The 12,287-nt window shown below is 44.9% G+C and overlaps 2 pseudogenes; both read right to left on the bottom strand.

The window, feature by feature from the left end:
- On the bottom strand, positions 719-1,888 carry LOC126860 (ArfGAP with GTPase domain, ankyrin repeat and PH domain 1 pseudogene; annotated as a pseudogene).
- Positions 12,044-12,125, bottom strand: RNU5F-2P (RNA, U5F small nuclear 2, pseudogene; annotated as a pseudogene).

The following is a 12,287-nucleotide window of genomic DNA, read 5'->3' as shown; positions in this document are numbered from 1 at the left end:
TGCTGCTCTTGCACGACTGCAGGCTGGCCAGGATGGCCAGGATCTGGCTCTCGATGGCTTGGACCCAGGTGTCCTGCTCCTCATTCGTCGTGGCTTCAAAGTGCCACGTTTGGCCAGTGAGGGACACAATGATAAAGTTTTCTTGTTCTTCAGCAGTGTCAGACAGGCCATCAGCTTTGAAGTTGCTGGTGGCTTTCTGCCTATAGTGCTTCTTTCTGTTGGTGTGAGGGGAGGTGGGCTGGTGGTGCTGGAGTTACTGCGACTGGAGCATACAGAGTCACCCACCCCTTGTCACTGCTAATGGCCGAGTTTGCAATGACTGTAGCCTGACTCCACTGGTTGGCTCTGGAGACTGAGTAGGAGTGCTGGTGCATGCCATCTGGTTGGCTGTTGAAGGAGACCAGGCTGATGCCACCTGCCAACTGAGACCCAGATGCACTAGTGACATTTCCTGAATTGGGTGAGATGTGTAAACTCCTCATGTGCTTGGATAGGCCATTGGTTTTAGTCCTGGAGATGGGCACGCAGGCCGACGTGGCTTGGGGTAGCCTCTTCCCTGGGACTTTCATAGTGGTTCTCAGAAGGTCAGTCTCCTTACCATGGACATTCTGCATGTAATCATGTAAACTTGGATCATAGGTCCGCACACCATTGTCACACAGGGTGACATATTTCTTTTACCACTCTTTATTCAACGATTTGCCACTCTGCTTCAACAGCATGCCCTGTATAATTGGCATGGCTTGGCTGCTCCCAATGCCGTATGCATGACTCTCTAGGCCTTTCTACTCTTTGGGTTGCTCCCTTTCTGAGAGGTGAACAGGTTTGACCCCACTTGAACTGCTTGTGAACTGCTTGTGAATGGGTGTGGGCGTGTTGGCAGTGGGAGGAACATCCATCTGAAGTTCCTTCTGGCTGGTGCTGGGAGTCGATGGAACAGAGGAGGAATAGTTGCTTAAACTCCTACCTCCATTACTTGTCTAGTTGATGTGCATGGCGGACACCTGTGCAGAACAGACGGTGGAATGGCTTGGAGAACTGGGCAGCAACTTGCAGGGTCCTATGGGCAGCTGCTGCTTCTTCCTTGTGGCAACAATCTTCTGGGCAACCTCCTGGAAGTCCCTTTCCACGTTCAGCCCATACATAGCACACGTCTCATAGTACGTGCACCGCTTCAGGTCGTTGGAGCACTTCCTTACCCTGGCATCATCAATGACCCTCAGGTTAGTGGAACTTATGGCATCCTGGGTTCCCACCAGAACCAGAGGAATCTCGCTCATGTTCCGATAGTTGGCCATTCCACTGTAGTAAACAGTCTGGAAACTTATTTCATCCTCCAAGCTGAAAACAAATATAACTGCATCCACCGACATGGCAAACTGCGCCTCCAGGGGGTCCCCTTCATATTTAATCAGCAGCAGATAGCTCTGTCCATCAACAACAATCTCTTTCTTGAACCTGCCACCACTTTGAGCTCCGGGACAGATCGACTCAGCGTCCATTCCTAGCTGTTCACAAAGACATCTTCGATGGCAATGACGTGCTCCCGGATCTGGTTCTGAAGCACCGGCTCCTCCACGCGCTCCAGCAGCTGGTAGATGGGAGTAGACGTTGGGGTGGACCAACTCGAAGTGCTGGATCTCGGCCGGGATGGCAGCCAAGTTGGCCAGCTGCTGCTGGTAGTTCATGGTGCAGGCACCAGGCCGGGAGCTGCCTGCCCCCGCCGCCCCCGCCCCCGCCTCAGAAGCCTGGCCTCCCGCGGCGGGTGGAGGAGGCTCGAGAAAGGCGCGGGTGGAGTAGGCGCGGGGCTGGCCCGCGGTCTCAATTCATGGCAGGGACAAGCGGCTGGCGAGCCAGCAGCCAGCGAGCGGGCCGGCGTCTCAAGTCAACACGCCACCCCGGGGAAGCGCGCCCCCACCTGGAGCGCGCCCCTACCTGCAGCGCCCCACGGCGGGCGTGACGGGCCCAGGAGGAGGCTCGCTAGAGCGCCTTCCTGCGAGGCAGCCTCTTTCCAGCCCTAGGCCCCGCTCTGCCGAGCAGACATTAAAAGCCCTGGCAGCCGCTGAGCGCTGAGCTCCGAGCTCCGAGCTCCGAGCGCCAGGGCCGGGGGCGAGGGCCGATTCCCGGGCAGTGTGGCTGCGCGGCTCCGGGCGCCCGGCCGCGGCCTTCTTTCTTAAAACTGATGACATAATGCTTTTTTTTTTTTTTTTTTTTTTAAGCCAAGGGAACAAAATGTTCCATCAATGAGCCAGGAATATTGAGGAATCCCTGAAAGATTGAAAATAAGACTTATGGGCTGGTTTATAGCAGAATGGGCAGGGCTGAATAGCAAATTAACAAAAAGGAAAAGAAAATGGATCTAAACATTGCAACATTTGAATGACAAAAGCTGTATAAACAAAAACCAGCAAGAATGATGGTGAGGGTTGGGGAGTTAAAAAGAAGAAAATGTCCCAAATTTGCACCAAAACACATCTTATTAAAAGGGCCCACTTAGAGTTCTTAAAATAATTAATGAAAAAATATCCTGTTGTAGGTAAACTCTAGGAGAAAGAGAATCAAGAGATTTTTATATGGAAATGTTATCTATAAAATAATGGAAATTAGTTTGCCCTTGAATTTCTCAGTGGCAATATCTTCAGGGCTAACTCTGGAATCCTTTAGGCTAACCAACAGTAAAGTGAGAGGAAAATAAAAACGTTCTCAGACATGAAAGTATTCAGAAAGTTTACCATCTCATTGAATGACTTGAAAATGACTCCTGCAAAATGAACAACGAATTACAAAAAAGATTTCCCAGATTCTCATCCCCAACAGATGAGGCAACAGACATTGAGTACATACTATGTGCGCTCTACACAGATTATCTCATTTTCTTCCCAATAACTCTGAAAAAGGTACAATTATGATGCCCATTTTAAAGTGAAGAAACTGATATACAGATGTGAACCAGAATATATGAAAGAATGATAGGCAATAAAACATAAAATATATTATTGAATCAAAAAGTTATTGGTGCATAATATAAAAAAGAGAGGGTTTTTACAAAGATATTCTGGAGCTAAATCCCAGATCGATAACTGCAAAGCAAGTGTCAGAGGCTGTGTGAAGTTGCTTCATTAGAAAGACTCCACTGGGGAACAGTAGCTACCCTTAGAGTCCCCACTTGACTGGATTTGCAGTAACCAAGACCTATCAGTCATCTGTGGCAGCTGATCTGTGAAGTGAATGGGAATGAGGTGGGAACCATCACAGTAGCATCTTTCTCTCCTTTGATGGTAACACTTATCTCTGCAATTCTCCAGGAATGTAGCATTGCTTTTGATGTACTGTTTTGGCACCCCACTTGGTACTTCCTACCGGAATAGCCCTTACACCATGGGTGAGTGTACCAATGTAGGAATTCTGCCAGTTGCTAAGATTACCTATTCCAGCTATTCACTTGGCAACTAGGGCCCTTGACCACAGGATGAATTCACAGTCCCACTAGCCCTGCCCAAAGGTGAACCTGGGCCAGAATTCAGTTCATTTGTCACCCAACCTCTATAAGCTCAAAATGTTGATGGCAAACAGCAACATTTTGGGTCCCAGAAATTAGTGTTAGTTTGGGATTTGCATATGATAGTCACTAAAAAGTTTGGGTATTTCCTTTTCTCCAGAGCAATTATCTATAAGGGAGCACAAACTCTTTGGGGAGATGAAAGTTTGCTTGCAGTCTTAGGTACAATATTTCCACAGCGTCCTTATACAAGAATATTTGGGCTATGCTCAAAAGGCTGTGGATCTGGGATCTGATTTAGTGCCGGTAATGGGGTGACAAGTTGTATCTCTCTTGCTCAGGAGAGGTCTCTGTTCCCCAGACATAAAGCTGTGTTTTGTGGGTTGTTTTTTGTTTTTTTTTTTTTTAGAGACAGGATCCCACTCTGTTGCCCAGGCCGAAATGCAGTGGCATGATCATGGCTCGCTGAAGACCTGAACACCTGGGCTCAAGCAGTCCTCCCTTCTCAGCCTCTTGAGTAGCTAGTCATGCATGCTCCACCATACTTAGCTACTTTTTCTTTTTCTTTTTTTTTTTTTTTACTTTTTTTTGGAGGGGGAGGTAGGGGTCTTGCTATGTTGCCGATGCTAGTCTCAAACTCCTGGACTGAAGAATGCTCCCACCTTGGCCTCCCAAAACACTGGGATTATAGGAGTGAGTCACTGCCCGGCCTGGATTTGTTTTTGTTATACAAACCAAAAAGACTTAATGGGTTATTTGTTGAGTTCATTCCTTGGGTTCCTAAAATTACTTAACCACATCCAGAGAGCTCCTGGGTCAGACCAATGTGTTTTCCACCCTGCTGCCTATTATGATGACTGGAGCCCACTGTTCTTCTGGTAATTAACGCCCTCCACTTGACTGCCTCCCATCCTTGCTTGCCTGTGGGAGTGTATTTTAATTTGCAGCTGCTCCTTCCAGCATTCCTGCCCTAGAAAACAGCCGAGATAGAGAAAGAGACCCAATTTGTGCCTATCGGATGCCACTGTTCAAGTCTATTTCCTGCAGCAATGACTCCAGGCCTTTGCCATTGCTCTTACATTTCTTACCCTACTCCTGCTCTACCACTAGATGACTTTGCTCCAAACCACCCAGAGCAAATGGAGGCTCTCATACATGAACCCCCTCAACTTTGAGCCCAGTCCTCTAAACTAGTCCCCATCATGTCTTTCCTTCTGGTCTCGGTTGGTGAGGGGGTCATCCATCCTACTTTTGATTTTATCCCCCCAAGCTCCTCTAGGATCATGACCTTACCCTTTGGTTACTGTTACACATATTCAATACCTCTTCACAGACTACTTTCCTATAGCATAAAATTATGCTCTGATCTTACATACACATAACACAGAGAAGAAAGACAGCAGGAAGGAGAAATAAACACTTTCTCTTGAACTACCTCCCACTCCAGCCTTTCCTTTGTGGCCAAATCCTTAAACAGTCTACACTCAGTTTTTTTCCCACCTTTTCATCCACCATTCACTACTCAGTCCATAGCAATTAGCCTGCTACTCAGGACATCTTTCTTTTACCAAAATTATCAATGGCAAACTTACTAATTGACAAGTTTTACAGACTTTTCATCTTACGTGATCTCTGCTGTTTACTGTTGGTGTCTCCTCCCTTTCTGAAAATCTCTCCTCTGTGGGTTTCTATGATGCTGTTGCACTGGGCTTGACTCCTAGCATTCTGCTCTATTTCCTCCTTTTGTTATTCTGTTAATGCCCATGTACATTTAATACAGGGTCTGTCCTTGGCTCTTTGCTTTTTTTCTTTTTTTTTTGAGAGCAAGTCTCGCTCTTGTCCCCCAGGCTGGAGTGCAATGGCTCAATCTTGGCTCACTGCAACCTCTGCCTCCCGGGTTCAAGTGATTCTCTTGCCTCAGCCTCCTGAGTAGCTGAGATTACAGGAGCCTGCCACCACACCCAGCTAATTTTTGTATTTTTAGTAGAGACGGGGTTTCACCATGTTGGCCAGGCTGGTCTCGAACTCCTGACCTCAGGTGATCCGCCCGCCTCAGCCTCCCAAAGTGCTGGGATTACAGGCATGAGCCACCACGCCCAGCTGGCTCTTCACCTTTTTATCCATCCCCCTCTTCCTAGGTCAGCTTTCTCATTCTCACAGTTTCAGCTTTGGCTAATGCCTTCCAAACGGCATGTTCATTCAAGCAACAAATATCTTTTAGCTCCTACTGTGTGCCAAGTACTGTCCTAAGAGATGGGACTATAACAGTAAGCAAAACAAAGTTTCTGTTTTTCTGGACATTACCAAAGACAAGCATTAAGCAGATAAAATATATAATATATGATGTCAAATAATGATAAAGGATCTTGCAAAAAATAAACCAGGATAAGACAGTGAGAATGGGGCTGCTGTAAATGGAGTATTTAGAAAACACTTTTGTTTAACTTGTATCATACTGGCTCTCAAAGTGTGGTTCCAGACCAACAGCATCACCTGGGAACTGGCTAGAAATGCACATTATCAGGCCTCACTCGACCTGCTGAATCAGAAAATAGGGGTCGGGGGATGAGTCCAGCAATCTATGCCTTAACAGGCCCTCCAAGTGATTCTGATGCATGCTGTAGAGGAGTTTCCCACCTCTGTTGCCTCAAATAGATGACAGGTGTGCAGTCTAATACTAATTTTCTTAGCCCATAGGGATAGCTTTAGGGTTGGGGGTTAGAGAGATGCCAGGAACCTCCGGACCAAAGTAGCGTACACCCAGACTTTTCAGAAGGCAACCAAGTGGGATCGGCTGGCATGCCACAGGCCTCCAGGTGGCATGGTAAAAGTCATCCATTGATCTGCTGCAAGAAGCTAAGCGCTGTCAAGGACCTGCTTCCGCCCTCACTTCCAGGTGAAGTTTGTGGTCCCTTGCACATGGAGACTGCACAGCACAGAGCGAGACAGGTGTAGAAGCTACTCTAGCTGCACCACGACAGCTCTTCATAATGCATGTGTTGGGCTCCCTAGAGCTTCTTTCCTTTCCTTTCCCTTTCCCATTCATTCACATCCATTCTTTCACTCACTCGTTCATTCAATTCATTCATTTATAAATAGAGACAGAGGTCTCTCTAGGTTGCCCAGGCTGGTCTCAAACTCCTGGGCTCAAGAGATCCTCTTGCCTTGGCTTCCCAAAGTGCTGGGATTACAGGCATGAACCACTGTGCCCAGCCTCATTATTATTTGAAATACATTTATTTTTATAAATTTATTTATTTATTTTTGAGACGGATTCTCACTCTGTCACCCAGGCTGGAGTGCAGTGGCGCAATCGCGGCTCACTGCAACCTCCACCTCCTGGGTTCAAGCCATTCTCCTGCCTCAGCCTCCCAAGTAGCTGAGACTACAGGTGCGTGCCACCATGCCCAGCTAATTTTTTTATATTTTTAGTAGAGACAGGGTTTCACCATGTTAGCTAGGATGATCTCGATCTCCTGACCTCCTGATCCACCCACCTCGACCTCCCAAAGTGCTAGGGTTACGGGTGTGAGCCACCGCGCCTGGCCATTTTGAAATAAGTTTAAAGAAAAAGTTGATTAGATTTGAAACCCATTCACATTATCACAAGAAATATCAAAATTACATTTGTTGATGACAGAAATTAGATTCTTTAAGTTCAACTGCTGTAAATTTTTAAGTGATTGTAAAAATGATTTTTAAAGCTTTTAAAATTGTGTGAACACATTTCTCATTCATAGTAACAAAAATTTAGAGTTCATCATTTAAAAAATTTTGATTAGGAATTTTATGTAGTCATTTCAAACATGAAATTTATATCTGTGGAAGCAAACTCAAGATTCTATTTTAAAAATTTAAAATATTTGTATACAAATTTAGTTTACTGATATTGAATCCCTAACACTTTTTAAAACAATGATTATATATCAAAAATTAATTTTTTCACCAAGCCCTATACAGATACCCTCAAATCCCCTCAAGTTGCCCCAGTATGCTATTCAAACAGTATCATTTTCTGTCCTTTAATGGGAAAAGACTGGATGCACTGCGCTAGGATCACCCTCTCTCTCTCCCTGTCTGTCCCCTCTTCCCTCTCCACCCCTTCCCTCCCCGCCATACCTCTTCCATAACACTGAACTATAAAGGGACAAAATACAGTCCTCAGGGTCACACAAGCCACCAGAAATAGGAAATGTATCTTTTTTTTTTTTTGAGACGGAGTCTCGCTCTGTTGCCCAGGCTGGAGTGCAGTGGTGCAATCTCGGCTCACTGCAACCTTTGCCTCCTGGGTTCAAGCAGTTCTCTGCCTCAGCCTGCTGAGTAGCTGGGATTACAGGCACCTGCCACCATGCCTGGCTAATTTTTTGTATTTTTAGTAGAGATGGGGTTCACCATCTTGGCCAGGCTGGTCTTGAACTCCTGACCTCGTGATCCACCCACTTCAGCCTCCCAAAGTGCTGGGATTACAGGCGTGAGCCACTGCGCCCAGCCCAGAAATGTATCTTTAGTGGAAAAAACCCAGAAAGATGATAAAGTATATCGAAACCATCGCTGGCCAGGATCACTTCGCCATGTGCTGTTTCCTCTTCCATGTTTTTCTTTTGAAAATCCAGCACAGGATGCTGGAGCCAGAGTCAGCAGCTAGTGAAAGAGTCAGGATCTTGGCTTCAGAAACATAATCCCTCCTGAACTTTAAACCTAAATATTTCATTGTCCACTGTACATTTCTAGACAGATAACCTGCAGACACTTCTAGCTCAATACCTCTGAAGCTGAACTTGGCCCACCCACCTTTACACAAAATCTGTTTCCTTTTTTGTATTCCCTCAGTTGGATGTCAGCCCCATTCACCAGTCACTTTGATTAGAGTCCTGGGAGTCATCACTTTTCCCTGTAAACGTAACTCATATCCTCCCTCTCACCTGGACTGTTGCAAGAGTCTCCTCACTGGTCTCTCTGCCTCCATCCTCTTCCCATTTCTTTTTCTTTTCTTTTTTTTTTTTTTTTTTTTGAGACAGAGTCTCGCTCTGTCGCCCAGGCTGGAGTGCAGTGGTGTGATCTTAGCTCACTGCAAGCTCCACCTCCCAGATTCACACCATTCTCCTGCCTCAGCATCCCGAGTAGCTGGAACTACAGGTGCCTGCTACCACGCCCGGCTAATTTTTTTATTTTTTTATTTTTAGTAGAGATGGGGTTTCACCGTGTTAGCCAGGATGGTCTCGATCTCCTGATCTCGTGATCTGCCCACCTTGGCCTCCCAAAGTGCTGGAATTACAGGCGTGAGCCACCGCGCCAGGCCCATCCTCTTCCCATTTCAATTCACCTTCCACCTTGTCCATAAAGTGACTCTTCTCAATTGCAAATCTTACCATTTTCCTTCCTTACAATGTTTCAATAGCTTCTTTTGTCAATAAGATAAAATATAAGTTCTCTTATATGGTATAAAAGGCTTTTCATTTCTTGGGCTGCCTACCTCTCCGGCCTCCTCTTTTGACAGTTTGTCAAACCACTGATTGACCTGCTATCTTTTGTACTGTTTCCTCTGGCTGGAAGGCCCAGCTCTCAAAGTCCGCCTGAGGATCACCTACTCATCCCAGTATGGCCCAAACTGGATCCCCTCTGACTCCACTCAGGTAATGTTACTCACTCCCTTCTTTGTGTTCTCACAGTACCATATAGATCAGTGATTCTCAACCAGGAGCAATTTTGTTTGATGCCATGGGGAAAACACTTGGCAATATCTGAAGATAATTTTGGTCACCACAACTAGGGATGAAGTGCTACAGGCATCTGGTAGAGGCCAGGGATTTTGCTAACGATGCTGCGATGCTAATGATGCTGTTACAATGTACAAGACAGCCCTCCACAACAAAGAATCATCCAGTCCAAAATGTCAGTAGTGCTGAGGTTGAAAAACCTGGAGGTACAACACTTTATCACACTTGTCTGTTTACACATCTGTCTCTCCCTGTTATACTATACGCTCCTCAAGGGCATGCACCATGTCTTACCTTTAAATCCTCAGTGGTGAGCAGTGCAATACATGTAGTAGGTGCTCACTAAGTATCTATGGAGTGAATTGATTAGATAGAAGTTAAGTTAAGTCTCATCTTGTCCCTGCACCTAACAGGCCAACACCTGCATTTCAAAGCAAAGAGGGTAGGAACATAAGATGCTTGGGGTCAAAACAGTTAGGGGATGTGGATCAACCAAAGCAGCTGCAACTTCCGATCAGCTGCTAAGCCTATTAAGGTTGAACTCTCCATCTTTCTCAAGTCTTCTATCCCTTCATGGTCCCCACTCCATAATCCCATGAGACTACCACATTATTTTGATTTTCTCCCTCAGAAATATTTCCTGAATCCAAGCCATACCCACTGCCAAAGCTGCAGATCAGGCTCTCAGTTGCATCACTTTCCTAGACCACTATTGTGCCCTCCTATTTAGTCTCTCTGCCACCTACAAATTGAGAAAGTCAAATTTAGTAAGTCCTTATAGTTTCCAGCTCTAAAACAACAGGATTTGTAACATCATGTAGTGCCAATCAATTCCAGCCTTTCCATTAAATAATCCAAATGAATCAGTATTCATGCATTCACTTATTCATATGGATATAATACTTCAAAACACTAACTGGGAATAAGTGTAATACTTTAGAAAGCCTTGCACTCTTTCATAATCTTTCACCTTGGAAACATAAAAGTAAACAGCTTTAATTGATCCTCCCTTTCTTCTAGTAACCCAGTTCCCACAGATGTCAGTTTCTTAACAAATCCAAACAAGGAGTAAAGTATTGAGAGTTTCAGAATGTGTGCATATCATATTTTCAGCAAAGGGATGAGCAACACTTTCAATTAAAAAGGAATCTAAAAGAAAACAGCAGCATCCTTGTAAAAGTAGATGAGGACAGCCAGCTGGACTTAGCTGCTAACTCAGCACTCCCTTCCCCAACTCCTCCACCTTCCAGCCATGCTGCATTGACCTTTTTATCATGGAATGGTATGCAGCTTCTCTGATTTTGTCATTGTCACTCATAATCCCAGCAGACTTGTGTTATAAGCAGCTGCTTATATTGCTGTTATGTATAGATATAGAAATGTAACTTGTCAGTGGTCAAAGAAGCCAAGGAAACTGAGCAAAGGTGACTGAGAACAAGTGCTCAGCATGGGCTCCAACACCCAGTAGGGCCTTTTCTCATTGATTTTTCTCCTACAAGGAATTTCTCTCTTATTGAAAGACAGTACAGTTTGGGGAATATCATTTGACCAGATATCCTGCTCCATTCTTGGAATGAAAAACAGGTGCAATTTTAGTATAAGAGTCTAGCTAGGGATGCGGATGAAATTAATTTATAACAGGACCAGGCTGAGGAAAAACACCAATAAATGCTACAAATAGTTTGTCACTTTTTCTAACAGGGAAATCTCTAAAGGATGATAAAGATGCTAGCTGTGTTTAATAGCAAATGTTAATTTGGGGGAATATGAAATAATCATGATATCTTTCTCTCTTTGAGCCAAACGCAGCTTTGGAATTTTTCTCACTGTAGTGTTGTAGGCAGAAACTATCAACTGAGGCAGGCCCTTGCGAGGAAATATTTATCCTCCTTAGCCCATGCAATGATCAGGTTTAGACAGTAAAAAATCTATTTAAGTGACTGGATTGCTCATCTTTTATTTACTTTACTCCCAGTGGCCTAACCTGGAACATATAGAAGAAAGTAGTGGAATGGTTTTTCCAGACGCACTTCAGTTACTTCAGGTCCTCAGTGTTTAATAAGGTTTTGGGAGAGAAAAAAAGCTATTGCTGTGTGAATTCAATAAATATTTAAAAAATTTAAAAAATCAGTGAGCATTATTTCTGCCATCATGTGATCTGAACTATCTGAGTAGTATCATAAATCTTGGGTGATGGGTTACCTTGACCAACCTCCCTTTCAGTAAGAAACAAATTATTAACAGAAAGTGAAAGAGAAATAAACCTATTCAATGTTTCAAGTCCCTCAGAAGAGGGTGAGGCAGCTCCCCAGATCGTTGCTAGATCCAGCCTGGCCAATGAACCCTGAAAAAGCCCAACTCCTGCTTTCATCATGGAAGCACGGGACAAAGTGTCTCTTCCTAAAAACAGAAGTTAGACCAGACCCCTTCCTGCCTATGATTCTTCAAGAAGCATTGCATCATCAACATCAGGCATAAGCATTAATAAAGACCCTAAATAATAACAGAGACGAAACACATCGCAAAGAGAGTTTTCTTTTATCCCCTTTAAAATGTAAATACTCCCAGGAGGAATCAGCCAACATCATTAGGGGTTAATGCATATGTAGAATAACTAGGGCCAGGATATAAAATAAGAAATACGTAGGGAGGAGAGAAAGGCATCCTTGAGACGACTCCAAGAAGGAAAGTTGGGGATGAGGCGAAATTTCTGATTTTACCTTAAAGTGACCCTAATTCGATGACCTTTTGTGGTTTTTTTCTTTTTTCTTTTTTCTTTTTTACTTGGCCCTGCCCAAGCAGGACCTAAAAACAAACAGACAAAAAAGGTTACTAACAACTGTTCCTCTCCACGAAAATCTGCAGTAAAAGGTAAAAGATGTATTCGTTTTGAAGAGAAACCAGAGCTTGCGATGAGCTTCTGTATCTCCGTCAGCCCTCTAGCATGACATTAGGAACCCTCCAGGAGATGAGTCTTCACAGCCCGGGTTGGCACCTGCAGACACGCACTTTTCAACGCCCGCACCCTGCCCGGGGCCGGCTCTCCCACCCAGGCCTCTCTCTGCTTCAGC

Source organism: Homo sapiens, chromosome 1 (genome assembly GCF_000001405.40).
Source record: "Homo sapiens chromosome 1, GRCh38.p14 Primary Assembly".
Lineage (NCBI taxonomy): Eukaryota > Metazoa > Chordata > Mammalia > Primates > Hominidae > Homo > Homo sapiens.
Note: the sequence above shows the minus strand (reverse complement) of the source record. Positions and strands in the feature narration are given on the sequence as shown.